Genomic DNA, 26,608 nt, shown 5'->3' on the forward strand with positions numbered 1-26,608 from the left:
CTGGGGACAGCAACAGAAACGGCAGAAACTTGGCCCAGGGGCTAAGCAACCTCCAGCAGAGAGCAGCTGGAGAAACATAACAGGGACAGAGTCAGGCAGAGACACAGAAACAGCATGCAGAGACACAGAGACCATACACAGAGAAGTGCAGAGATACCAGAGACACGCAGAAACAAGGAGAGCACGCAGAGACAGTATAGAGACAGGCAGACAACACACTGAAAGGCAGATGCCTGGACAGAAGCCACCCTGACGATGGCCGCCCCATCCCATCCACCGGCCTGCTGTGTCCTGTCCCCACTGCTCACTTTGGATACCCCCAGACTCGGCATCCACTAGGTGCCCCATAAATGCTGAAGGATTTAAAGACAGGCCAAGAGGACACAGGCTCCCGGCACCAAATCGAGGTCGTGGGTGGGGTCGGGGGCACCGACGGCAGGGACGCGGGCCTGGGCGCAGAGGGCGTTTATTGGACCTGTCCTTCCCAGCCGCTGCTTGTCCAGGTTCAGCGCTCTCCGCGGGTGAGGCAAGGAAACCGAGGAGACGCCCGAGCCGGGTCACCACAAGGTCCGCCTGGACCCCCGGCCGTCACGGACGGTCCTCTGGATGCAGATGGTCCAGGGATCTGGGGGTCCTGGGAGAGTGGTGTGTGGACTGCGGGCCCAGCTGGACAAAGGCAGGGGCTTCCTCAGAAGCTCTGCTGGTCACGCAGGCGTCCGGCCCACGGCCTTCAACAGCCCTGCAGGGCGGGCTGAGGTTAACCGCGCCGAGGAGAGTCCAGGGCGAGCGGTGGCTCTTGCAGCAGCCGGGCTCAGGGGCAGCTGAGGGGTAGCTGAGGAGTAGCTGAGGGGCAGCTGGGCTCAGGGGTAGCTGAGGGGCACCCGCCACCAGAGCCCACCGCACAGGCAGTTCTTGATCCAGCGCTGCTCCCACTGCTTCACCGCCGTGGTTCTGTTGGGCGACTTGAGCATGGTGACACAGCCGCACCTGCGGGGAGGCAGGCACTGAGCGGGTTCCCACTTCCAGGCGGGCCTCCCTTACGCCTGCCCCACTTTTGCTTCCAGGCAGGTCTCCCTCTGCTCGCCGTCCCTCACGCCTGCTCCCCACGTCCCCACCTGCCACAGGGCCTCTGCCCATGCTTCTCCTCCCCCCAGCAATGCTGCTCCCTGAACTAGCCCCGCCACACCAAGTTAACTGCTCCACATCCTGGGATCCTGGCTCCAACACTCCCTCTGGGACGTGCTCCCTCCACCACCCTTGACCGTCTGGAGCGCTGGGTGGGGGCTAGAATCAGCTGAGCCATCCCCAGCGGCACATCTCTGGGAGTCAGCGGTTCCGGGGGCCCCTCACCTGGTGCAGGCCTTGCATTCCTCCGTGGGGCAAGCGCCAAGGTGCAGCCTCCGCAGGTGGTCGATCTTGGGCTGGCCTGGGGCCCTGGCGGGAGAGGGGAGAACGTGAGGGAGGCCTGGGCACCACGAGGCCAGGTTCCGGCAGGGGCATCTGTCCACAGGCGGGGGTGGAGGGAATGGCCGGCCTCACACCATCTGCCAGGTGGGCCCAGATGTCTGTGAACAGTGAGGTGGGAGGTGCGGGACCACCTGAGACAGGCCCAGTAAAGGGGGCGGGACCCCCCACACGGAGGAGGGTTGGTCTCCCAGGTGCCTGGGGAGCTTGAGGCTTAGAGACCCAGTAAAGGGGACGGGGCCCACACAGGGACGAGGGTCGGTCCGCCACGTGCCCGGGGAGCCTGAGGTGCAGGGAAGGTGCTTGTGACGCTCCCATTTGAGGCTGGACAGAAGCAGGTACATGGGGACTTCCACACCACCTCTGCCCAGACACCCGGCCTGGAGGTGCCGGGACCTCTGAACGACAAGATTCTGGTGGCAAAAGCTGCCCTCGGTGGTGGGTGGGGGACCTGGGTCTGGGTGGGGGTGGGCCGGCTTATTCTGCTCTCATTAAATATCTGAAATTTTCCCAGTTTACAAGCCTCTGACGTAACCGTCCTCTCTTTCCATCAAGTCTTTTCCTGAAACCCAAACCCTCGTGTGTGACTCATTAGGAGGCCCCTCCCACAGTGAGCACGAGGAAGAAAATGCTGGAGGTCCTAGAGCCAAGCCAGGGCGCCTTCCCGGAGGTCCCGGAGCCAAGCCGGGGGTGCCTTCCCTGGAGGTCCTGGAGCCGAGCCGGGGCCTTCCCCGGAGCAGGGCTGCTGGAGGTTCACTTCATTTTCTTCCTTTTGCTCATCTGTGTTTTCTAAAATTCCAGCCCTGAGCAATCAGTGGCTCAGAGGGTTTGCATGTGCTCCTTGTCAAACGTGTGTCTGAAACAGGCTGGGGGTCTGACGGGCCTGGGTTCAAATCCTGACTCGGCCACTTCCTGACCGCGTGACCCCAGATGAGTGGGGTGACAAGGTCCCACCCTTTCCAGGCTGGGTTTCCTCACCGTGAAATGGGGTGACAAGGTCCCACCTCACAGGGCTGCTGGGCAGCCAGGGTCAGCTCAGCACACTTGGGTTGCCCAAACCCCGCACATTCCAGAGAAAGGCCAGCCCCGGGCCCTGCAAGGTGACCTCTTGCCCCCGGGAGATCCTCCTGATGAGGTGTCTGCTCAGCAGGGCCCTGGGCCATATGCTAAGGCGTCTCTCTCCATCCACAGAGGGATCTACGGCGAGGCCTGACATCCAGGGGGGCCAGAGACTAAGGGCAGAGGCTAAGGCAGGGCGCCCTGTACAGCGAGGCCAACACACAATCAGGAAACACCAAGGCAAGGCCGGGGCGGTGGCTCACACCTGTAATCCCAGCACTTTGGGAGGGCGAGGCAGGTGGATCACCTGAGGTCAGGAGTTCAAGACCAGCCTGGCCAACATTGCAAAACCGCCTCTATACCAAAAATACAAAAAATACCTAGGTGTGGTGGCTCATGCCTGTAATCCCAGCTACTGGGAAGGCTGAGGTAGGAGAATCATTTGAACCCGAGAGGCAGACGTTGCAGTGGGCCAAGACGGCACTACTGCACTCCAGCCTGGGCAACAGAGTGAGACCCTGTCGGGGAGACAAAAAAAAAAAAAAAAAGGGAGAGGGTGAATGGAAGGGCTGGGTGCCCGTGTTGGGGGTGGTTCGTGACACAGCAGAAGACACCACTAGGGGATGGAGTTAGGGGCACCTAGAAGGAAGCAGCAGTCATGGCCATGACTGGAGAACATGGAGGGAAGGAGCCGTATGGATTCGGGGGGGTCCTGGGGCAGGACATGGAGGGAGGGAGCCGTGTGGATTCGGGGGGACCCGGGGCAGGACATGGAGGGAGGGAGCCGTGTGGATTCGGGGGGTCCCGGGGCAGGACATGGAGGGAGGGAGCCGTGTGGATTCGGGGGGTCCCGGGCAGGACATGGAGGCGGGGAGCCGTGTGGATTCGGGGGGACCTGGGGCAGGACATGCAGGGAGGGAGCCGTGTGGATTCGGGGGTCCCGGGGCAGGACACGGAGGAAGGAGTCCTGTGTTTGGGGACCAATGCAGGGACACACGCACCTGGCGAGGCCGTCGAGCTGCAGGGTGGCAGCACTGCCAGGCAGCGTGGGCGCCCGGCCAAACTGCAGACGAAGGGGCTGCTTGGGCTGCAGGCGGCTAACCAGGCCGTCGCTGGCTGGCAGCCAGTCCAGGCTGGGGATAAGCAGCTGGCTGGGCAGCAGGCAGCATTCATCCACCAGCGCCTCGTCCGGCTCGCTCGCTGGGCCCTCATCGCGACCTGCGGAGAGAGGTGGCGGAAGTCTCAGCACCCCTGACTGGGGCACCGCCCGGCCACCCGGGACGTGCTGGGAGCCCCTCCAGTTCAGGAGCACCAGGTCAGGGCCCCAGCTCTGTCTGCCTGGCTGGGTGACCCCGGGGTTCTCTCACCAGGTCGGGGCCCCGGCTCTGCCTGCCTGGCTGGGTGACCCCAGAGTTCTCTCCCCGTCTCTGGCCTGTCATGAGACTCCCTCATTCACTTAAAAAGTATGTGGGAAGCACTGTGCCTTTTCCAGACACTGGGATGTAAGAATGACACAGCTCACCCTCCTCACATACACACAACCCGACAAGGAGAGACAGCAAACAGGTGCCTGGAAGTGGCTGCCATCCCAAAAGCACCCACACAGAGCATGGACCTGTGCTAGGAACTGGGGAAATAGCAGATATCAAGGCAGAGCCACTGCCACCTGCAGGGGCTTATGTTCTGGCGGGGGGCTCAGGCAGGACTTGTGTTTTGGTAGGGAGAGGGGAGCGGGGAGAGGGGAGAGGGGAGAGCGGGGAGAAGGGAGAGCGGGGAGAGGGGAGAGCGGGGAGAGGGGAGAGCGGGGAGAGGGGAGAGCGGGGAGCGGGGAGCGGGGAGAGGGGAGAGCGGGGAGCGGGGAGAGGGGAGGGGCGGGCGGGGGTGCCTCACAGCAGATCCAGAGCTTGGTGAGCAGGCGGAAGAGCAGGGACATGCTGTCCTGGGTATCCGAGGTGGCCGTATACACGGGCAGGCAGCTGGGCTTCAGAAGGCCCCAGATGCGGATGACCACCATCAATTCCCGAAGCATGCCCAGCGAGGTGCCGTCCCGCAGAAAGCTGTGGCCCGGCCTCAGCAGGGAACCCTGCCCGAAAGAGGCATCGGTGTGGCTGGGGCGGCGGGGGGCAGATGGCGATGGGATGAAGTGTCTTGGGGTCGGTGGAACCCCGACCGGGGGGCAATGGGCAGGGTCTGGGACATTTGTGGTGGTCAGGACTGGGGTGCTTCTGGCACCGAGTGGGTGGATGCCGGGGACGCTGCTCAGAGCCCTGCAGGGCCCAGGACAGCCCCATTTGCAGAGTCGTCCCATCCCTGAGAGTCCACAAGACTAAGACGAGGCTCTGGCTGAGGCCAATATCCCCACCTGCACGTGGAGGAGCAGCCGCCCCCTCCTACAGCTGCGGGCCCGGGCCCCTGGTGACTGTACTGGGAGCTGAGAGGACCAGGGAAGGGAGGCCCCAGGGGTGGCCCCTGGCAGCCTAAAGCCCCACAAAAAGAAGAGAGGGACTTCAAACCGTCCGTGATGGGCGCGGTGGAGAAGGGCGGGCCCCAGGGCAGGATGAAGCCGGGTGGGTGGGGCAGAAGAAATCACAGCTGGGGCAGGACAGAGTGTACCGGCGGGGGGGTGGGGGCGAGGTTGGAGCCCTGGTCAGGGGCGCACAAGCCGCAGAACTGAAGGTGGAGGTGTGGATGGAGACTTGATTTCAAGGCCGCCCACCCCAGGCGCAGGGAGCTGGGGAGGGTAAGGGGTGGGGGCAGCAGCAGCAGAAGCAAGGCGAACCGGCCTTCGTGTAGGGGTGGGGCTGAGAAGGAGCAGGGCCTGGGAGGCGGGGCTTTGAGAATGGGCAGGAAGGGTGTGGCCAAGGAAAGGCTTCTTACAGCAGAGGCTTCATGGAGAGGAGGGCTCCGAGGTGGGGGAGGGCTCCGAGGTGGGGCAGGGCTCCGAGGTGGGGGAGGGCTCCGAGGTGGGGGAGGGCTCCGAGGTGGGGCAGGGCTCCGAGGTGGGGCAGGGCTCCGAGGTGGGGCAGGGCTCCGAGGTGGGGGAGGGCTCCGAGGTGGGGGAGGGCTCCGAGGTGGGGCAGGGCTCCGAGATGGGGCAGGGCTCCGAGGTGGGGCAGGGCTAGGAAGTGGGGCAGGGCTAGGAAGTGGGGCAGGGCTAGGAAGTGGGGGTTTAAGAAGAGACAGACTCAGGAAGTGGGACTCCAAGTAGGGGTGGGACTCCAACCAGGGGCGGGGCTGAGGTGGGACTCCAAGCAGGGGCGGGACTCCAAGTAGGGGCGGGACTCCAAGTAGGGGCGGGACTCCAACTAGGGGCGGGGCTGAGGTGGTTTTGAGGGGCAGGGGCAGGGAAGCGGGGTCCTGATGAGATGGGGGCCCAGGTGGGGGGCGGGGCCTTAGGGGAGAGCATGGCGCACCTGGTTGGGTAGGCTGGCCAGCAGGTACAGCACGAAGTCGCCCACCCACTGCAAGAGCTGCTGCAGCGCCTGCAGTGTGTTCATGTCCAGCACAAATTCCTCCGTCTTGAGGTTGATCATGACCTTGTCAATGTCTACAAGGAGACGTGGGTCGGGTCAGCTCGGGCCTCTTGTACACACAGGGTGACCTAACTGCACCCCTCGGTCCTTCGACCTGCACTGAGTGCCCACCCAGTACCAGGACACAAGGGGACCCACACCGGGAACGAGAAGGGGGCGATGGCGTTGCCGGACGGAGAGGAACTGGGAGCCCACTGCCTGCCCCCCCCCGGGGGCCGCTGTGCTCAGCACCAACCAGCTTCTCTCGGCCTGCAGGCCTTGGCGTGGGCAGGTCCCCATGCCAGGGCCACCAGTGCTCAGGCCCGGCCTGCTGGTGCACATCTGCCCCCTGCTCCGAGGTGAACTCTGTGAACACAGGGGCATGTCCACAGCGTGCAGCTGCAGCCACCCCCGGCTGGCAGCTGGCGGCGGTTACACACCCAACAGATGCCTCTCGGATGGTGACTAGGGTGGTCCCACAGAACTAACCATGACTGTGCACACGGCTCCCAGCTACCAGGAGTGCCACGTGTCCACACTCAACCGGGTACTCCAGACAAACGATAACCCTAAATTTTTTTTTTGAGACAGAGTCTCACTCTGTCGCCCAGGCTGGAGTGCAGTGGGGTGATCTCAGCTCACTGCAAGCTCCGCCTCCCGGGTTCACGCCATTCTCCTGCCTCAGCCTCCCGAGTAGCTGGGACTACAGGCGCCCGCCACCACGCCCGGCTGATTTTTGTATTTTTAGTAGAGACGGGGTTTCACCGTGTTAGCCAGGATGATCTCGATCTCCTGACCTCGTGATCAGCCCGCGTTGGCCTCCCAAAGTGCTGGGATTACACACGAGTCGCCACGCCCAGCAACCCTAATTTTTAAAAGAAACAGCCTGCCAGGCACAGTGGCTCACGCCTGTAATCCCAGCGCTTTGGGAGGCAGAGGCGAGTAGGACACCACGTGCTGGGTGAGCCTGGGCAAGCTGCTTAGCCTTTCTGCCTCAGTCCCCTTACGGCAAAACGGAAGGAGGAGCAGACCTGCCTGCACAGGACCCGGGTGCCGGGTGTCGGCCTGGGAGCGTCTCAGCCCCCAGGAGTAGAGAGAGGTGAAAGGATCGCTTGAGCTCAGGTGGTCAAGACCAGCCTGGGCAACACAGTGAGACCCTGTTGCTACAAAAAATTAAAAACCGGGTGTGGTGGCACGTGTCTGTAATCCCAGCTACTCCAGAGGCTGAGGCGAGATTGCTTGAGCCCAGAAGGCAGAGGCTGCGCTGAGCTGGGACTGCGTCACCGTGCTGCAACCTGGATGACACAGTGAGACCGTCTCTAAAAGCCTGGGTGTGGTGTAATCCCAGCCTTTAGGCTATATCCCAGCACTTTAGGAGGCCGAGGCGGGCGGATCATTTGAGGTCAAGAGTTCGAGACCAGCCTGGCCAACATGGTGAAACCCCGTCTCTACTAAAAATACAAAAAATCAGCCGGGCGTGGTGGCACGTGCCTGTAATCCCAGCTACTTGGGAGGCTGAGGCAGGAGAATCACTTGAACCAGAGAGGCGGAGGCTGCAGTGAGCTGAGATCGCACCACTGCACTCCAGCCTGGGCAACAGAGTAAGACCCTATCTCAAAAGAGTAAAAAAAATAAATAAAAATAAAATAAATAGATGAAAGAAACCTCGAGGCCCCGGGCGTGGAAAAGGACCCACCGACGTCGGTGATCTTGGTGCAGATCTCGGTCAGCCGGTCGCCGGGGCTCTTGTCAGGCGTGTTGAGAAAGTGGGGGCGCAGCAGCGACTTCAGGGTGGAGCTGATGGCGATGAGGAAGAGCTTGGTGTGGTAGTCGCACACGCGGGTCACCGTGCAGGGCGACAGCTTGCAGAGCGAGGCCTTCATGGCCAGGATCCGGGTGGAGAGGACCTGAGGGCAGGAAGCCAGGTCACCCCAAGGGGCCGGAGCAGAGGCGCCCGCCAAGGCTCCAGCTGAGGAGAAGAGCAGTTCGACTCTGACACCAGGCGCTCGGTCAGCTGGGCAAGCTGCTTCGCCTCTGCACCTCAGCAACCTCATGGCAAAACAGGTGCGGAAGACCAGGCGCACAGGACCAGGTGCTGGGTTCTCAGCTGGGAGCGGCTCTGCCTCTGGTGGGGGCCCCTGGTGATGTCTGGAGATATTTTTAGTTGTCACCACTGGGGGTGCCCCTGCCAAGTAACGGGTGGAGGCTGGGGAGGCTGCTCAACAGGACACCCCCATCCCAGAGGCTGCTCCAGCCCCCGATGTCTGTGGTGCCTACGGGGAGACCCTGGTCTAGAGAGAATGAATGAATGAGCTGAAGCATTTTGGGAGGCTGAGGCTGGAGGATTCCTGGAGGCTGGGAGTTGGAGAGCCTGTGCAACGTAGGACACCCCATCTCTACAAAAAATAGAAACAACTAAAAACAAAAATGAAACGCTTGGCACACAGCGACGGCCCAAGGAGGGAGAGGGCGAGGTCTCGCCATCACTAGCGCTGTCACTGGCTACGGATCCCAGCCACGCTGGGGTTTAGCCTCGCAGCCCCCGCCTGGGTCTCACGCGTTTCTCGGCAGGCTGTGCCGTGAATGGGATTTTTTTTTTCCCATTTTATCTTCGTATTGGTTTCTGATGGCACAGAGGAAAACAAGTGAAGCTCAGAGGGCTGGTCCCACGTGCAGCTGCCGGCTGAGCTCGTTAGATCTGAGGTCCTTCGAGGACACTCTGGGATTGCAGGCACATAACCACACCACTGCAAGGGACCCTTCTGGCACGTGGGCCTCCGTATCCGCTCCCTCCTCTCCTTCCGACGGGCGGGTCTCTGTGTGTTCATCTTCTGACCGTGTTTGCTGAGGCCTCACACCACAGGGCCACCGGGTGTGCATCCTGGTACCCATCACATTCTGAGAGGATGGCTTAGAAAGATACCTCCAGACTGGGAACACTGGAGAGGGGAGCCGTCCAGGGGGGATCAGGCCTTACCTGTGGGGCTTAACGTGTTACAGAAGAAACTTCCCAGGTAAGGAAGGAAACTGCTTCTCTGAGGTGCAGCTTTCCTGGACGGGCCTCTGGGAGCACACCCCACACGCAGCCTCACCTGCCACAGGCTACCTGCCCCTCTTGCCCTCCGCCTGCCATAGAGCCCCCAACCTGCCGCAGGGAAACCCCTCCAGCTGCCACAACCCCCACATCTGCCGTGGGGACCTCTACAACTGCTGCAGAGACCTCCTCCACCCTCCAAGGGAACTCCCTCCCTGCTGCTGGCACTTTACTGACCACGGGGCCCCTGCCTGCCACAGGGACAGCCCCACCTGGCACGGGACCACCTGCCACGGGGCCCCCACCTGCCACGGGGCCCCACCTGCCACGGGGCCCCCACCTGCCACAGGGCCCCCACCTGCCACGGGGCCCCACCTGCCACGGGCCCCCACCTGCTGCAGGGCAGCGGTCTGGCGCGTGTACTCCTCGTGCAGCTTCTCCACCAGGCTCTGTACCATACTGGGCTGCACGTGCAGCAGGATGTCCCACCAGTCGTAGCCGGTCACCATGCAGTACTCCAGCAGGAAGAGCAGGTGCCGCAGCGCCAGCCCCACCTCCAGCGGGTGGCCCATGGAAGGTGAGAGGCGGAGCACGCTCAGCTGCCAGAGACAGAGCCCAAGGAGAGCCCGGTGAGATGGGGCTGCGCCCTCAGCCGGGAGAGGAATGGGGCCCTGGGGCTGCGGCACGTGTGTGGATCTGTGTGCGCGCACGCCCGTGTGTGGGCCTGTGTGCGCGCATGTGTCTGTAGCGTCTGTACCTTTCTGTCAGGGTCATGCACAATGCCTCTGGGAACAGGGAAGGAAACCTCCCTGAGCCCCGACTGCACTGGATGCCGAGCCAGGCTTACACTCGTCTGCTTTACCTGAGGAGTCTACCCCGTGAAAGGCGGTCCTCTCAACAGCTCCTAGTTACGAAGCTCCTAATACGTGCTGTGAGCCACCCCACTGACCTCGCTCAACAAGACGAACCCATCACACAGACAAGGCAGCGCAGGCAGGGGCTGGCGAGGGGCTTGCACCTGTGGTCCCTTCCCCCGGGGGCGCCTCCCTCTGGCACCCTCCCAGCCCCAGCCCCAGCCCCAGACCCACGTGCCCCAGCAGCTCGCCTTCCCCTGGTTGTCAATGCCCACCAGCCCCTGCCCCACGTGCCCCAGCAGCTCACCTTCCCCTGGTTGTCAATGCCCACCAGCCCCAGCCCCAGCCCCAGCCCCAGCCCCACGTGCCCCAGCAGCTCGCCTTCCCGTGGTTGTCAATGCCCACCAAGCCCAGCCCCACATGCCCCAGCAGCTCGCCTTCCCCTGGTTGTCAATGCCCACCAGCCCCAGCCCCACGTGCCCCAGCAGCTCACCTTCCCGTGGTTGTCAATGCCCACCAGCCCCAGCCCCAGCCCCAGCCCCACGTGCCCCAGCAGCTCACCTTTCCGTGGTTGTCAACGCCCACCAGCCCCAGCCCCAGCCCCACGTGCCCCAGCAGCTCGCCTTCCCCTGGCTGTCAATGCCCCCCAGCCCCAGCCCCAGCGCCACGTGCCCCAGCAACTCACCTTCCCCTGGTTGTCAATGCTCAGCAGCTCACCTTCCCGTGGTTGTCAATGCCCACCGAGCCCAGCCCCACGTGCCCCAGCAGCTCACCTTCCCCTGGTTGTCAATGCCCACCAGCCCCAGCCCCAGCCCCAGCCCCACGGGCCCCAGCAGCTCGCCTTCCCCTGGTTGTCAATGCCCACCAGCCCCAGCCCCACGTGCCCCAGCAGCTCACCTTCCCGTGGTTGTCAATGCCCACCAGCCCCAGCCCCAGCCCCAGCCCCACGTGCCCCAGCAGCTCACCTTTCCCTGGTTGTCAATGTCCACCAGCCCCAGCCCCGGCCCCGGCCCCGGCCCCACGTGCCCCAGCAGCTCACCTTCCCCTGGCTGTCAATGCCCACCAGCCCCAGCCCCACGTGCCCCAGCAGCTCACCTTCCCGTGGTTGTCAATGCCCACCAGCCCCAGCCCCAGCCCCACATGCCCCAGCAGCTCACCTTCCCGTGGTTGTCAACGCCCACCAGCCACAACCCCAGCCCCACGTGCCCCAGCAGCTCACCTTCCCCTGGTTGTCAATGCCCAACAGCCCCAACCCCACGTGCCCCAGCAGCTCGCCTTCCCCTGGTTGTCAATCCCCACCAGGGCCAGCCCCACGTGCCCCAGCAGCTCCCCTTCCCCTGGTTGTCAATGCCCACCAGCCCCAGCCCCACGTGCCCCAGCAGCTCCCCTTCCCCTGGTTGTCAATGCCCACCAGCCCCAGCCCCAGCCCCAGCCCCACGTGCCCCAGCAGCTCACCTTTCCCTGGTTGTCAATGTCCACCAGCCCCGGCCCCGGCCCCGGCCCCGGCCCCGGCCGCAGCTCCACGTGCCCCAGCAGCTCACCTTCCCCTGGCTATCAATGCCCACCAGCCCCAGCCCCAGCCCCACATGTCCCAGCAGCTCACCTTCCCCCGGTTGTCAATGCCCACCAGCCCCAGCCCCAGCCCCACGTGCCCCAGCAGCTCGCCTTCCCCTGGTTGTCAATACCCCCCAGCCCCAGCCCCAGCCCCAGCCCCACGTGCCCCAGCAGCTCGCCTTCCCCTGGTTGTCAATGCCCAGCAGCTCACCTTCCCATGGTTGTCAATGCCCACCAAGCCGAGCCCCACATGCCCCAGCAGCTCGCCTTCCTCTGGTTGTCAATGCCCAGCAGCTCACCTTCCCATGGTTGTCAATGCCCACCAAGCCCAGCCCCACGTGCCCCAGCAGCTCACCTTCCCCTGGTTGTCAATGCCCACCAGCCCCAGCCGCACATGCCCCAGCAGCTCACCTTTCCCTGGTTGTCAATGCCCACCAACCCCAGCCCCACGTGCCCCAGCAGCTCGCCTTCCCCTGGTTGTCAATGCCCACCAGCCCCAGCCCCACGTGCCCCAGCAGCTCGCCTTTCCCTGGTTGTCAATGCCTACCAGGGCCACGCCCCAGCAGCTCGCCTTCCCCTGGTTGTCAATGCCCAGCAGCTCACCTTCCCGTGGTTGTCAATGCCCCCCAAGCCCAGCCCCACGTGCCCCAGCAGCTCACGTTCCCCTGGTTGTCAATGCCCACCAGCCCCAGCCCCACGTGCCCCAGCAGCTCGCCTTCCCCTGGTTGTCAATGCCCAGCAGCTCGCCTTCCCCTGGTTGTCAATGCCCACCAGCCCCAGCCCCACGTGCCCCAGCAGCTCGCCTTCCCCTGGCTGTCAATCCCCACCAGGGCCAGCCCCACGTGCCCCAGCAGCTCACCTTCCCCTGGTTGTCAATGCCCAGCAGCTCGCCTTCCCCTGGTTGTCAATGCCCACCAGCCCCGGCCCCACGTGCCCCAGCAGCTCACCTTCCCGTGGCTGTCAATCCCCACCAGGGCCAGTGACGTCCACGATAGCTGCATAGCCTTTAAGTGGACGGCGGGGCCCGCGGTGCGGGGGCGCTTCATGGCCGGCTCATCCACAGGCCTCGGGGCCGCGGAGCTGTAGAAGACGGCCATGGTCTGCAGTGAGAGCCGGTGCACGATGTGGACGCTGCCGTCGTGGAAGGCCAGGGCCAGCCCTGTGGGGCACAGGCACTGCTTAGACATGGGCAGGGCCCAGGACACGCCCGCCGGGGGAGGGGCCTCCTGCTCTGCAGGGTGTGGAGAGCCGGGGCTGCCCATCCAGGGGGTCAGCCCCCGCCAATCGGCATCCAGCGCCCGTGCCCCCAGCCACTCTTTCTTTAGTTACACAGTCCCTGAGCACCAGGGGAGCAGGAGCCAGCAGCCTTGGCCACACTGCTCCCAGCCCCTCCCCGCCCCTCCCAGCTGGGCCCATGTCCTGGCTGACACGCCCCTCAAGGAGCGCAGGGGAGGGGGGCACTACAGGTGGGGGACCAAGGGTTGGGGCTCCTGGCGTCCCAAAGAGAGGCATCTTAGGGTGGTGGGCTGGGGCTGTCACTCACACTGGGGTCTGCCATTGTACGAGGGCCGGGGGGAGGTGGGGTCCAGAGCCCAAAGCTCATGGAAAAGAGAATATGAAAGGAGTCCCTGCAGTAGAGAGGCTGCAAAGCCGGGCGCGGTGGCTCACGCCTGTAATCCTAGCACTTTGGGAGGCTGAGGCGGGCAGATTGCCTGAGCTCAGGGGTTCGAGACCAGCCTGGGCAACACCGGTGAAACCCCGTCTCTACTAAAATACAAAAAATTAGCCGGGCGTGGCAGCACGCGCCTGTAGTCCCAGCTACTCGGGAGGCTGAGGCAGGAAGGAGAATCGCTTGAACCCAGGAGGCGGAGGTTGCAGTGAGCCGAGATCACACCACTGCACTCCAGCCTGGGCAACAGAATGAGACTCCAACTCAAAAAAAAAAAGAAAAAAAAAAATAGAGCCTGGAAAATGGAGCATAAACCAAGGGTTTTGGAGCAGGGAACTGCATCCCCTCAACCTCTCTGCAGGCTCTGAGGAACAGCCCTGAGCCCCGAGCGGGTTTTGATAAATGCTCTTTCCAGGGAACCAGGGAAGAACGGGAGCTGGGGGAAGAAAGGGCCTGAGCTAGGGCCGACTTGTCCACATTTTACAGCTGAGCAAATAGGGTAGGCACTGAAGAGTGTGCAGACTCACTCATGGGCACGGATGCCACGGTTTGAGCTCAGGACCACATTATGGCTGCTGCAGCACAGAGAGGACACATGCCGCCTACCCAGGAAGGAGTTCCACCAAGTTCCCCAGGCTCCCTTGTTGATTTGCAATGACTCTTTACATATTAAAGAACACTGGATCTGTCTGCCAGCCTCACAGATCCCGAAAGATGAGATCTGCCTCCTAATTGGGAACCCATCAGAACCCAGAAGGCTGAGCTCCTACAGCCCCATGGCCTGTGCTCAGAGCCCACGTCCTCTGGTGTGAGCTCCCACGACCCCGTGGCCTGTGCTCAGGGCCCAACTCCCCTGGTGTGAACTGAGGCCCCGCGTGGCTGCCGCTGGCTCCACCGTACCGAGGCCAGGGTAGAACTGTGTGTCGCTGGCCACCTTGAGGTCGGTGTTGGTGAGCGAGATGGGCAGCTTGGGCAGCGCCACGGCCGACACACGGTCCAGATCGTTGGTGGCCGATAGGATCCGCCATTTGAGAATTGTGGGCTGTTTGTCGCCAACTGAAAAATCAGGGGCAGGAAAACAGGAAGGCAATGGAGTAAAGACAGGCTGAGACAGCCGCAGGAGTCCAGCATGGCCTGGTGTGCAACCTGCCCAGGGCCCTTCCCAGGTCTCATGCCGCCCTGCTCCCATGCCCAGAAGACCAGGCCCGGCCAATCCGAGCGCTTCGTGCCTCGGCCACTCATTGGTTCCAGGATGGGCACGTGACCCAAGGTGGGCCCTGGGATTTCATGGAAACCTGTGGGCCGGCACCATCTCACCCCCGATGGGGCAGACAGTGGGGAGACGGCGCCACCTCAGACCTGCAGCCATGCAAACCCTAACACTCGCTCGGCCTTAGCCAGCTCAGCCGGGATTCCCATCCCTCCTCATCTACAATTCCAATAAAGCCATGCGGGATGGTCGCACCCACAGATCCGCTGCCTGACAGCCCCTGCGTGAAGACGCAGCTCCTCCCAACAGGGCAGAGACTTCTGGGAATCTCAGGCCAAGCCTTAGCAAATGTGACATGGCCGGGCACAGCAGCTCACATCTGCCACCCCAAGACTTTGGGAAGCCAACGCCAGAGGATGGCTTGAGTCCAGGAGTTCAAGACCAGCCTGGACAACACAGCAAGACCCCATTCTCTACAAAAAAAACACAGTAAACATTAGCTGTGTGTGGTGGTGATGCACGCCTGCACACGCCTGTAGTCCCAGCTACTCAGGAGGCTGAGGTAGGATTGCTCGAGCCCAGGAAGATGAGGCTGCAGTGAGCCAAGATCACGCCACTGCACTCCAGCCTGGGCAACACAGCAAGAGCCTAGCTCAAAAACAAAAAACAAAAACAGTGGCCCAGAGAGCACGTGTGGGGGGTCCTGCTGTGGCTGCATGTGGGACACGGAGGGCAGCTGGAGCCGGCCTGCTGGAGCATGTGCGGCCAGTGGACAGGCCACGCCACCTCGGCTGCTAACCGCAGACACGTGGGAACCAGGAGAGCGCAGCTGAGGCAGCCACAGAAACAGAAACAGTGCAGGGCTGCTGGCCTGAGCTGCTCAGTTTGGGGCTGGCTTGTTACTCGGCTGAAGCTGACTACCACGCAGCTGCTCTGTGCCACCCGCATCATGAGGTCTCTGCCCCGGACGGGCCATCACGGTCACAGAGCCTTGACCTCCTGCAAACCCGTATAGGGGTCCTGTGAGCAGCATTCCCTGGGGGGAAACAGGCCCAGAGAGTGGCTGAGACGCCCAGAGGGCACACAGTGGTCAGGGGTGGCTGGCCCTCATGGAATTGAGCCTCTCATAGGAAAGACAGGAAACTCAACGCCCCAGCGCCGGGGGAGGCAGCTGCCATGACGACCACACCCCCAGCTAGTGGCCAGGGTACCCTCACAGCACGATTTACATCCCCTCCTCCATCCAACTGACGGCTGCGGTCAGCATTCCTAAATGAGGGGGGACTTGAGGCAGGGAGAAGCTAAGCTGCTAAGTGGGGATGTGGGGCAGTGGGTGAAGAGCTGGGCATGGTAGGAACCGAAGCCTGGCATGGTGGGCACGTGGGGCGGTGCGTGAAGAGCTGGGCATGGCGGGGACCGAAGCCTGGCATGGTGGGCACGTGGGGCGGTGGGTGAAGAGCTGGGCATGGCGGGGACCGAAGCCTGGCACGGTGGGCACGTGGGGTGGTGGGTGAAGAGCTGGGCATGGCGGGGACCGAAGCCTGGCACGGTGGGCACGTGGGGCGGTGCGTGAAGAGCTGGGCATGGCGGGGACCAAAGCCTGGCATGGTGGGCACGTGGGGCGGTAGGGGGAGAGATGGGGGAGAGATGGGTGCGGTGGGGACTGTCCCAGTGACCCCCAGCTGCCAGGGATGTGAGACCTGAGAAAGGCTGTGGCATGTGTGTGAGACGTGGCTCTCGGGCGGGTAACAGCTGGGCCAGCAGGTGAGGACGGCTGCAGGAGACGAGGAGGAGTGTCGGAGCCCAGGACTGCCCAGTGGCTTGGCTGTGGGCAGATGGTAGACACAGACGTGCCCAGCGGGGGCACCGGGCAGTGAAGGTGCAGGTCTGTGCAGCCACACGGGGTGGCGCCAGGTGCTGCTGCAGGAGCCAGCGCAGCCCAAACTGCCTGGTGACTCACCACGAGGCCCAGGGGAAGGAATGAGGCCCAACAAGGCCCTGGGGACCGGGCGAAGGAACGAGCCCTGGGAGAAGGAATGGCAGCAGCCCTCTTCACCTGCCTGGTGACTCACTACAAGCCCTGGGGGAAGGAATGGCAGTGGCCCTCTTCACCTTTACTGCCTCTGCGGCCACAATGGGCAGTTGACATAACCACCTGCAGGCCCCGGGAGCCATCGGGGCCTCTTGACACGTGCTCATTAGTGGCTTCTGAGGAGCGCCTGCCCCACCTGCCCCACGTGCCCCCACGTCTGGCCACTCCAGGGTCCATTAGCGCTAATCGGCAAATGCCTGTGCTCTCATCTACCGGGAAAACATCTCCCTTCTCCAGAGCGGAGGCCAGCCTAAAAACCAGGCCCGCAGCCTCCGAGGCTCTGAAAACCAAGCGGCTGTTCTGGTCCCCGGTCATAGCAGGCGGGCGTCCCTGCTTCGCTCCAGCCCCAGGATTTTGTGCCGGAGGTGGGGATGACGGGCTTGGCTCCGTGGGTGCGGGGGGCCCATCGGGCGGATAGAGATGGGAATGGGGGCCCCAGAAGAGGCTGCTGGAGAGGTGGGGTGGGGTGGGGGGCGTGTTCTCAGCAGCCTCAGCTGACCCGCTGAGCCTTGGCTTCCTCTCCCTGAACCAGGTTCCGGAGGATTCCGTGCACCGCCCCTGCCCGGTCTGGCCTGTCCCCTGCTGCCCGACGGCCCCACCCACAGACCCACGCTCCACAGCCGCCCACACGCCTGCAGCCCCTCACGGTGTCCCCGCTGGCTGAGCAACGACACCTCTCAGCCTCGGCCTCGCACAGAATGGTGGCAGCCGCCGCAGCGGGCGTGGAAGGATGGAGGAGTCTATACGCCTAACACACTCAGAATGCTGGCAGGCGCGCGGTCACACCCGAGATCCTAGCACTACTGGAGATCGAGGCGAGACGATCGCTTAGGGCCGGGGTTCAGGACCACCCTGGGTGACACAGCAAGACCTGCCTCCAAAATAAAAACCAACCGCCCCCGAGGGCAGGCCCAGGGCCTCCGCAGCCGGCGGGAGACTCACCCACGGGGGAGATCTGCTGGAAGATGTTGTTCACGGGGAGTCCCTCCTTGCGCAGGGACCAGCACTCCACGATGCTGCTGGTCTGGCTGGACGCGCACAAAAGCACCTGCGGGGGAGGTGGGGGTGAGGGCTGACCCGGCACTGCTGTGGTGGCCACGCCACCACCGGAGCCTGAGCTGCGGGACCCTGGGGCCACGCACTGCTGGGCCTGTCTCTTCAGCCACGCCTGCCCCTCGGGCCCTCCTGGATTCCAGCCCAGGCCTGTCCCCAGAGCCCAACATCCACTCACAGGAACGCAAATGTCCCCGGATGGTGCCCTCCCACAGGGACAGCAAAGGGACACAGGGAACCAAGTCAGGGGCTTCAAGGAGTTTGGGGCGTTACTGATTCCTAATTACAACAGGAATCCAGGCGACCTGGTGTGGTCGGCTCAACAGTGGCCCCCAGAACATCCCATCCTCAGCCCTAGGACCGGTGGCTGGGCCGCCTCTCACAGAGAAGGGACCTGCGGGTGGGATTCGGTTCGGGACACTGAGACGGGAGAGCACGTTGGGGGGGGTCCGGGGGCCCCAGTGTCCTCACAGGGTCCTCAGGAGAGAATGTGGGAGGTTGAGATTCAGAGACAGGAAGAGGCTGCGCTGTGGCCACGAAGCGGGAGGAAGGCGCCCCGAACCGAGGGATTGGGCGCCTCCAGATGCTGGGAAAGGCAGAAAATGGGTTCTCCCCTGGAGCCCCCGGGAGGGACCGGCCCTGCCCACACCACGGTTTAGCCCGTGGAGGCCCGCGCGGGTCTCCACCCCCAGGACCCTGAGAAGCAGTGCTTCATTCCAAGCCTGCCAGCCCACGTGATGGCCTGCGCCCGTTCACCTGCTCCGACATGTCCCGGGCCAGGAACTTGAGGTGGGTGATGGCGGGAAACTTGTCCTTGCGGTTGAGGTCGGTGGTGCAGCGCATGAACAGGGAGGGCAGGATCTCCGTGTCGATACGGCACTTCTCGCTCACCACGCTCACGCACACCTTGTAGAACTGCACGGGCGACGCGCTGCTGCCGTCCGCCGTGGCCACCACGATGTTGCCGCCGCCGGTGAAGGCGATGTCGGCCAGGGCCACGCGGCCGCGCAGCCGGCACAGGCTCTCGGTGGACGTCAGCACCTGCCCGCTGGGCTTCAGCAGGGACACGGTGACCAGGCCGCTGACCGTCACCGCGATCCAGCCCTCCATGGGCTTGCCGCCGAACAGCGTGAGCGACGGTGAGAACTTGACTCGGGAGAACTTCTCCCCGAAGCTGGAGGCGCCCGACTGTGGAGAAGGGAGGGAGGGAGGAGGGGCCGCTCAGGCTCATGGGGGCTGCCCCATGACCCCCAGAAACACGCGCACAGAAGAACCACGCAGAAGCCAGGAGTGTGTGCACCTGGGTTCAGATCCTGACTCGGCCACCTGAGCCGTGTGGGATGTGATCCCCTCTGACCCTCCGTCTCCTCATCTGTAAGGTGGAAGGAACGGCACCTTTGCTTTAGAGGACAGTGGGGAGGATTAAACGGGTGAACGTGTGCGCAACGGGAGTCACCTCCCCTTTCTGTAAAGGGACAGACAGCAGCATGCTCGGTTCTGGGAGCCAGGTGGTCCCTGTTGCAACGACTTGGCTCTGGCTCTGCCGTGGCGGCACACAGGCAGCTGGTGCCAATGAGCCACACTCACAAACCCAGGCGGGGGCCGTCAGGCCCTGGGCCGCACTGTGCAGACCTGAGCTATAGCACTCAGGAAGTGCTGTGTAAGCACCAGCGGCTGCTGCGGGCACTATTTGATTTCAAATCAAATTTGTCAAGTCATTATTGACATACGGAAACATCCACCCTTCTTTCAACGTGAGTCTTTTAAAAGATGGGGTCTTGGCTGCGCACGGTGGCTCTCGCCTATAATCCCAGCACTTTGGGGGGCTGAGGCAGGTGGATCCCCTGAGGTCAGCAGTTCAAGACCAGCCTGGCCAACACAGTAAAAGCCTGTTGCTAATAAAAAATACAAAAAAATTAGCCGGGCATGGTAGCGGGTGCCTATAATCCCAGCTACTCAGGAGGCTGAGGCAGGAGAATTGCTGGAATCCAGGAGGTGGTGATTGCAGTGAGCCGAGATCACACCATTACACTCTGGCCTGGGCAACGAGAGCAAAACTTTGTCTCAAAAACAAAAAAAAAAAGAACAAGAAAAATGTCTCTACGTTGTGAAAAAATGCGAGGAAGAGAAGTGTATCATACGTATCGTACGGCTCCATTCTAAGTTACAAGTTAAAAAAAAACACTTCTTATAGCAAGAAGCAGGTCCAGAAGTCCAGGAAGCAAGCCAGGCCTGGTGGTGAGGGGTTGCCATGGCGACGACTCATCTGGTGTCCACACCACACGTCTGTGTGGGTCGCAGGCTGGCATGTCTGAGACTATGTTAAAGGAGCACATGTGCCTTTTATTAATGTAATTAAAAAACAAAAATTTGGCCGGACGCGGTGGCTCACGCCTGTAATCTCAGCACTTTGGGAGGCCGAGGCGGGCAGATCTCAAGGTCAGGAGTTCGACACCATCCTGGCCAAGATAGTGAAACCCCGTCTCTACTAAAAATACAAAAATTAGCCGGGCGCGGTGGTGCGTGCCTGTAATTCCAGCTACTCGGGAGGCTGAGGCAGGAGAATCACTTGAACCTGGGAGGTGGAAGTTTCAGTGAGCCGAGATCGCACCACTGCACTCCAGCCCGGTTGACAGAACAAGACTCTGTCTCAAAAAAAATGTATTTGGTTATTTTAAAAAGCGAGGCTCTGACTCAGGCCACAGCGGGGATGCACCTTGAGGACATCACGCTCAGTAAGAGATGCCAGACACAGAAGGCTACGCAGTGTGTGATCCTGTTTCTATGAATGTCCAGGACAGGCAGATCCAGAGAGACAACTGGGTCTCGGGGGCTGGGGTGGGGGATGGATCAGGGTGATGCAGGATGGGGACTGGGTTTCCTTTTCGGGTGATGAGAAGGGACTGAAGCTGGGCACAGTGACTCACGCCTGTCATCCCAGCACTTTGGGAGGCCAAGACAGGCAGATCACCTGAGGTTAGGAGTTCGAGACCACCCTGACCAACATGGAGAAACCCGGTCCCTACTAAAAATACAAAAAAGCAGCCGGGCGTGGTGGCGGGCGCCTGTAATCCCAGCTATTCAGGAGGCTGAGGCAGTAGAATCGCTTGAGCCCGGGAGGGAGAGGCTGCAGTGAGCCGAGATCGCGCCACTACACTCCAGCCTGGGCAACAGAGCAAGACCCTGTCTCAAAAAACAAACAAACAAACAAAAAAGATAAAGGTCTGGCCGGGCTCGTTGGCTCACACCTCTAATCCCAGCACTTTGGGAGGCTGAGGCAGACGGATCACCTGAGGTGAGAAGTTCGAGACCAGCCTGGCCAACATGGTGAAACCCCGTCTCTACTAAAAAATTACAAAAATTAGCCAGGTGTGGTGGTGGGTGCCTGTAATCCCAGCTACTCAGGAAGCTGAGGCAGGAGAATCGCTTGAACCCAGGAGGCAGAGGTTGCTGTGAGCCAAGATCGCATCACTGCACTCCAGCCTGGGGGATAGAGCGAGACTCTGTCTCCAAAAAAAAAAAAAAAAAAAGATAAAGGTCTGAGGTTAGCTATGGTGGTGGCCGCACAACATGGCGAGTGTATACGAAACCTCTGGACCGTGTGGGCTGCACACTCTCAATGGGTGAGTTCTAAGGTCTGTGAACTCCATCCCGACAAAACTGTTACCAAAAACAGGAAATACAGACAAACGGGGACCGCAGGGTGGGGAGTGCACCCCGGAGGGCCCCCGTGGCACGAAGCCGGTGCTGCGTGTACTGCGGCAATGCGCCGACAATGGCAGTCCCTGGGGAGGGACTCACGAAGGGACGAGAGAAAAGATCTTGTCCACTGCATCCCTCCAGGAAGGCCTCCTAGTTCCTGCGAGAGCCCCAGCACAAGCAGACGCACAGAGGCACGAAGCTGGGGTGGCTGTGAGGCCTTTGCCACGAACATCCCCGAGACCCTGCCGTCAGTGAGGAAACTGACACACAGAGGTGAGGAGTCAGAGCCTGAACCCAGGTGCCCCCCCAACCCTGGCCACGCCTACTCTTAACTGTCCCCCCCAACCCTGGCCACGCCTACTCTTAACTGTCCCCAACCCTGGCCACGCCTACTTCTTAACTGTCCCCAACCCTGGCCACGCCTACTCTTAACTGTCCCCCCCAACCCTGGCCACGCCTATCTTAACTGTCCCCCCCAACCCTGGCCACGCCTACTCTTACCTGTGGGGCCGAATCACAGGGAGCATAGAGAGGGGCTCTGGGATGTTACTAAATCAGAGGGTGGGCTGCATTCAGAAGACAGCAGCCACCAGTTATACATGCAGCTACCTAAGGACAGTAGCCTCCAGTGAAAGAGATAACTCACTAAGAACGGCCACCCTCAGTTAAATGAGGGGCCACTGAACACGCAGGTGCCAATGACAGCCAGACTGCAGGTGGGGGCCAAGTGAACAGCCACCCTCAGTTAAATGAGAGGCCACTGAACACACAGGTGCTAATGACAGCCGGACTGCAGGTGGGAGCCAAGTGCAAGGTCCAAAAAACCAGGGGATGCTGGTGATGGAGAGGAGAGGGGCTGGCGGGTGGCTGGGTAGGGTGACATCTCATCTGCCTCATCCGCTCACTCGGGCAGGACACTCACCTTCTCCACGTGCAGGGCCAGTTTCACACCATTGTGCAGCCAGGACAGGGCCACAATGGGGTCCCCCTCCACTAGGCTGCCCACTGAGCTCTCCCAGCTATTAGCCAGGTGGTCCGCCATGCTCCAGCACTTGATCTGCCCGTCGGCATCTGCTGACAGGAGCCGGGAGCCTGAGGGCAAGAAGCCATCATTGCGAACCTTCCAGGGATGGGCAGAGCACTGCGTTGCAGGACGGCACAGCGCCTGGGGGAAGCCAGCCCAGTGGAGAGGTCTCGGCCCAGGTAGGGCACAGCAGGTGGCACAAGGCGCACTCCAGAGATGCCCTGAGACACCCTGAACAAGAATGATTCGGGCCACTATGGAAAGAGCAGCAGGTGCAAAGCTGCAGACCAGGGGCTCTAGACCCAGCGCCGGACTCCAGACTGACCGGAGAAACACAGGGCCCCCCTGCTCCGGGATCCGGGTCGCCACCCCTGGCCACGTGGGACCAGCGCCTCACCTGACTGGTCCCACTCCAGGCAGGTGATGGCCTCGTGGTGCTCTGAGGGGATCGAGTGCAGGTCCCAGGGGTGCTCCGTGTCCAGGATGTGGATCATGCGGGTCAGGTCTGTGGGGACGGGGCATGGTCAGCACGGCCTGGCACCACAGCCTGCAGACGATGACGATGACTCCAGGCAGGCTCCAGGTAAGCCGGTGTGTGTCCCACCCCAGGAAGGTCACAGAACTGCTGTCAGCCGAGTCGACAGCTCAGGGAACAGGCTGTCCCCCCGCAGGAACAGAGCAGGCCTGTGAGGCGCCACAACTGTGTCTTTAAAACCAGATTAGAAGAAAATGACTCCGAAATGTGAACAGTGGGAGCCTCTCCACAGCAGATAATAGGTGGCTTTTTTGCACCCCGATTTGATTCCAATTTTCTGTGGTTTTCTAGTTTTCTCTAATGACCACGTATTATGAGTGCCTATTACTCAAACAATGGAGAGAAGACGGGCACAGCCACCACGCACCTTTCAAAAACCAGTGACACACACCGTCTAGAAAACTGGGGCACGTGTCTCCAACAAGCCTCCGTCAACCAACGCTCCAGCCCGATTCGATCCCGCACACGGGGCGATCTCATGTCTCCTGGCACCAGGTTTGGGGGGCACTGAATCCACCCTCTGTACCCCCAGGAGGCTGAGGCTCTCACACAAGTTACAGAGGAGGGCCAGGGTGAGTGAGAGGTGGCCTGAGAGACCGAGTCCCTTCAAGGCAGTGGGCCGGGCACCTGGGGAACAGGGCGGGACACCATGCGGCCGGGAGGGGAAGCAGGTGGGAGGGGGACGCACCCTGGTCATCGCTGCGCAGGTCCATGGTGAAGGCGATGAGATTTCGGCAGGACCAGGCGCAGGCCAGGGGCACCGATGGGCAGTGGGTGCTCTTGGACCATTTCTCCCACTCACAGACGTAGGCCAAGTCCATCATCCCACCTGCCGCTGGCCGCCGCAAATCACACATGAGGGCAGTCACCAGCTCCTGCGGGAGGGAGGTGTGGTGGGACGTCTATGTTGGCTGAGCACCCAGGGCATGTGGAGTGCCAGGCCAGAAGTGGGAAAACAATGGAGGCCCGTGGTAGAGGGAACAGCCGATGCAAAGGCCCGGAGGCCAGACAGAGCCTGGGGCTGGGGCCGAGGGGGAACATGGAGAGGTCAGGGCCAGTCCTGGGCCTGTGGGCTTCTACTCTCAGTAAGGTGGGAGCCCGGGAGGGCTGGGACCTATTTGGGTTTCACCAGGACCCCTCTGGCTGTCTAGGGAACAGACCATGGGGGCCAAGGGCACAGCCGGGAGACGCAGCGGAGGGTCTGCGCTGGCCCAGGTGAGTGATGATGGGGGCAGCAAGTGGACACTAGCTCTCTCCCGAAGGAAGAGCCCGCAGACAGGCAAGCGGTGGGGCGGCTCCCTGTAGCCGAGGCGGGGCTGAGTGACAGGGAACACCTGTGGCCGAGGCGGGGCTGAGTGACAGGGAACACCTGTGGCCGAGGCGGGGGCTGAGTGTGACGGGGAACACCTGTGGCCGAGGCGGGGCTGAGTGTGACGGGGAACACCTGTGGCCGAGGCGGGGCTGACTGACAGGGAACACCTGTGGCCGAGGCGGGGGCTGAGTGTGACGGGGAACACCTGTGGCCGAGGCGGGGCTGAGTGTGACGGGGAACACCTGTGGCCGAGGCGGGGCTGAGTGTGACGGGGAACACCTGTGGCCGAGGCGGGGGCTGAGTGTGACGGGGAACACCTGTGGCCGAGGCGGGGCTGAGTGTGATGGGGAACACCTGTGGCCGAGCCGGGGGCTGAGTGTGACGGGGAACACCTGTGGCCGAGGCGGGGCTGAGTGTGACGGGGAACACCTGTGGCCGAGGCGGGGCTGAGTGTGTTGGGGAACACCTGTGGCCGAGGCGGGGGCTGAGTGTCACAGGGAACAGAGGGGGCACCTCCTCGAGGCTTTCTAAGCGCCTGGCATCCAGACGGGCTGTTTCGCTTCGCAAAGGCAAAAGCCCAGGGAGCCTGGAATCACCCGCAACCAGGTTCTCCTCAAACCCTAACCCCGGCTCCCTACTTCTTCAGGGCCTGCCCCAGACCCCCAAGGCTCCGCCACAAGCCTCTAAAAGTCTTTCAGCCCCACCCCTGACCCCCTTTGCTTCCCACACTTCATTTCACCCCTTGAGCCCACGGCCTCACCCTAAATTCTCAGGCTTCACCGTAGGGGTCCCATGTACTCTCCAGGTCCAGCCTCCAACGCCCTTAGCTCTCCAGGCCCAACCCCTAAAACTCCCCAGTCCCCAGACTCCACCCCGGGGACCCCACGTACTCTCCAGGCCCTTCCCCTATTGCCCCCAAATACGAGGCTTCATCCCAGGGACCCCATAGCCTCTTCAGGCCCCGCCCCTATAACCCCCAATCTCCAGGGTCCATCCCAGGGACCCCCTACCCTCTCCAGACCCCTATAACTCCGCAGTCCCCAGTCTCCACCCTAGGGACCCTATTCCCTCTCCAGGCCCCGCACCGATAACCCCGCAGTCTCCAGGCCCTGCCTCTACAGCCCCCCAGTCCCCAGGCTCCACCCCGGCGACCCCAAACCCACTCCAGGCCCCGCCCCCGAAGTCCCACCAAGCGCCTTCAGCCTCGCCCCAAACTCTCCTTAGGCCCCGCCCCGAACCCAGCCCCGCGGGCCTCAGGCCTCCCCCAGGTTTCCGCCGCAAACCCTGAGCCCCGAGCCCCGCGCCCCGCGCCCCGCGCCCCGCGCCCCGCGCCCCGCGCCCCGCGCCCCGCGCCCCAGGCCGCCTACCCAGCAGCCTTTGCTCCCGGCCACGCCCCCGACCCCGCAGGCCCCGCCACGGCTGCGCCGCGTTCCCTCGGGTCCGTGGACACGGTCAGGGGTCCGTCCGCCCTCGCCGGGCCCCCGCAGCCCCGCACTCACCTGGTCGGCCCGTGCGCCAAGCTCAGCGGGCGTCCGCGGTGCGATCTTCCCTAGCGCCTCGGGTCTGGCGCCGCCATCTTCCTCGGTAACAACCAGTCGCCTGAGGCGTGGGGCCGCCTCCCAAAGACTTCTGGGAGGGCGGTGCGGCTCAGGCTCTGCCCCGCCTCCGGGGCTATTTGCATACGACCATTTCCAGTAATTCCCAGCAGCCACCGTAGCTATATTTGGTAGAACAACGAGCACTTTCTCAACTCCAGTCAATAACTACGTTAGTTGCATTACACATTGGGCTAATATAAATAGAGGTTAAATCTCTAGGTCATTTAAGAGAAGTCGGCCTATGTGTACAGACATTTGTTCCAGGGGCTTTAAATAGCTGGTGGTGGAACTCAATATTCGTGCTCGCTTCGGCAGCACATATACTAAAATTGGAACGATACAGAGAAGATTAGCATGGCCCCTGCGCAAGGATGACACGCAAATTCGTGAAGCGTTCCATATTTTTTTTTTTTTTTCCATTTTCCCTCCCAGAAACGGAATCTTGCTCTGTTGCCCAGGCTGGAATGCAATGGCGCGATCTTAGCTTGTTGCAACCTCCGCCTCCCGGGTTGAAGCGATTCTCCTGCCTCAGCCTCCCGAGTAGCTGGGATTATAAACATGCGCCACCACGCCCGGCTAATTTTTGTATTTTGGTAGAGACGGGGTTTCGCCATGTTGGCCAGGGTGGTCTCTATCTACTGACCTCCTGATCCGCCCGCCTCGGCCTCCCAGAGTACTGGGATTACAGGTGTGAGCCACCGCGCCCGGCCTTTCTTCCATTTTCTAATGTCCAAGAGTGGGGAAACTGTAAGCGAAGTCACCGACCCCGTTGAGTATTCCTACTTCCAACCCTATTCCCACCTCCTCCTCCAAAAGCCAGTTTAATGCAATGGATGTGGTGCTCTTCTATTTTTATTTTTATTTTTTTTGAGACAGGGTCTCGCTCTGTGGCCCAGGCTGGAGTGCAGTAGCGCGATCTCAGCTCACTGCAACCTC

At 62.2% G+C, this 26,608-nt stretch overlaps 1 protein-coding gene and 1 non-coding gene across 4 annotated transcripts, besides 6 other annotated features; one reads left to right on the forward strand and one right to left on the reverse strand.

The window, feature by feature from the left end:
- Positions 1 to 450: 450 nt before the first annotated feature.
- MED16 (mediator complex subunit 16) lies at positions 451 to 25,675 on the reverse strand. 3 transcript variants are annotated; one of them, NM_005481.3, is made up of 16 exons: positions 25,574 to 25,675; positions 23,451 to 23,637; positions 22,625 to 22,732; positions 22,126 to 22,295; positions 18,258 to 18,689; positions 17,391 to 17,496; positions 14,047 to 14,202; positions 12,425 to 12,636; positions 9,462 to 9,668; positions 7,732 to 7,942; positions 5,937 to 6,070; positions 4,414 to 4,606; positions 3,525 to 3,741; positions 1,351 to 1,434; positions 904 to 987; positions 451 to 739 (listed from the first exon to the last, which is right to left on the reverse strand). In NM_005481.3, exons 2-16 carry the CDS (start codon positions 23,617 to 23,619, stop codon positions 589 to 591), a joined length of 2,634 nt encoding a protein of 877 aa, NP_005472.2. In that variant the 5' UTR covers positions 23,620 to 23,637; positions 25,574 to 25,675; the 3' UTR covers positions 451 to 588. The 3 variants fall into 3 exon arrangements, with proteins under 3 accessions (NP_005472.2, XP_016881609.1, XP_047293966.1); XM_017026120.3 differs by lacking the exon at positions 9,462 to 9,668; XM_047438010.1 differs by lacking the exon at positions 9,462 to 9,668 and having other exon boundaries at positions 451 to 987.
- Positions 3,711 to 4,290: an enhancer, noted in NCBI's record as "H3K27ac-H3K4me1 hESC enhancer chr19:871223-871802 (GRCh37/hg19 assembly coordinates)". NCBI's record gives its function as "activates a minimal SCP1, AML or CMV promoter by ChIP-STARR-seq in primed H9 embryonic stem cells {active_cell/tissue: H9 hESC(primed)}" and the evidence as "EXISTENCE:reporter gene assay evidence [ECO:0000049][PMID:30033119]".
- Positions 17,832 to 18,332: an enhancer, noted in NCBI's record as "H3K27ac hESC enhancer chr19:885344-885844 (GRCh37/hg19 assembly coordinates)". NCBI's record gives its function as "activates a minimal SCP1, AML or CMV promoter by ChIP-STARR-seq in naive H9 embryonic stem cells {active_cell/tissue: H9 hESC(naive)}" and the evidence as "EXISTENCE:reporter gene assay evidence [ECO:0000049][PMID:30033119]".
- Positions 18,333 to 18,833: an enhancer, noted in NCBI's record as "H3K27ac hESC enhancer chr19:885845-886345 (GRCh37/hg19 assembly coordinates)". NCBI's record gives its function as "activates a minimal SCP1, AML or CMV promoter by ChIP-STARR-seq in naive H9 embryonic stem cells {active_cell/tissue: H9 hESC(naive)}" and the evidence as "EXISTENCE:reporter gene assay evidence [ECO:0000049][PMID:30033119]".
- Positions 25,293 to 25,342: a silencer, noted in NCBI's record as "silent region_9625". NCBI's record gives its function as "represses an Ori minimal core promoter by ATAC-STARR-seq in GM12878 lymphoblastoid cells {active_cell/tissue: GM12878}" and the evidence as "EXISTENCE:reporter gene assay evidence [ECO:0000049][PMID:35858748]".
- Positions 25,393 to 25,662: a silencer, noted in NCBI's record as "silent region_9626". NCBI's record gives its function as "represses an Ori minimal core promoter by ATAC-STARR-seq in GM12878 lymphoblastoid cells {active_cell/tissue: GM12878}" and the evidence as "EXISTENCE:reporter gene assay evidence [ECO:0000049][PMID:35858748]".
- Positions 25,803 to 25,952: an enhancer, noted in NCBI's record as "active region_13573". NCBI's record gives its function as "activates an Ori minimal core promoter by ATAC-STARR-seq in GM12878 lymphoblastoid cells {active_cell/tissue: GM12878}" and the evidence as "EXISTENCE:reporter gene assay evidence [ECO:0000049][PMID:35858748]".
- On the forward strand, positions 25,972 to 26,078 carry RNU6-9 (RNA, U6 small nuclear 9). Its single transcript, NR_104080.1, has one exon. It is a non-coding gene; the product is annotated as an RNA, U6 small nuclear 9 (small nuclear RNA).
- The last annotated feature ends 530 nt before the right edge of the window (positions 26,079 to 26,608 follow it).

The sequence above is a fragment of the Homo sapiens genome, chromosome 19 (genome assembly GCF_000001405.40).
Source record: "Homo sapiens chromosome 19, GRCh38.p14 Primary Assembly".
Classification (NCBI taxonomy): domain Eukaryota; kingdom Metazoa; phylum Chordata; class Mammalia; order Primates; family Hominidae; genus Homo; species Homo sapiens.

Excerpts from the sequence above, each read along its gene's own strand:
- MED16 (NM_005481.3), bottom strand. The coding sequence starts at position 23,619 with ATGTGTGATTTGCGGCGGCCAGCGGCAGGTGGGATGATGGACTTGGCC. Across the intron at positions 4,607-5,936 it reads TGGCCAGCCTACCCAACCAG|GGTTCCCTGCTGAGGCCGGG; the intron begins GTGCGCCATGCT and ends TCTTTCGGGCAG. Across the intron at positions 988-1,350 it reads GAATGCAAGGCCTGCACCAG|GTGCGGCTGTGTCACCATGC; the intron begins GTGAGGGGCCCC and ends GCCTCCCCGCAG.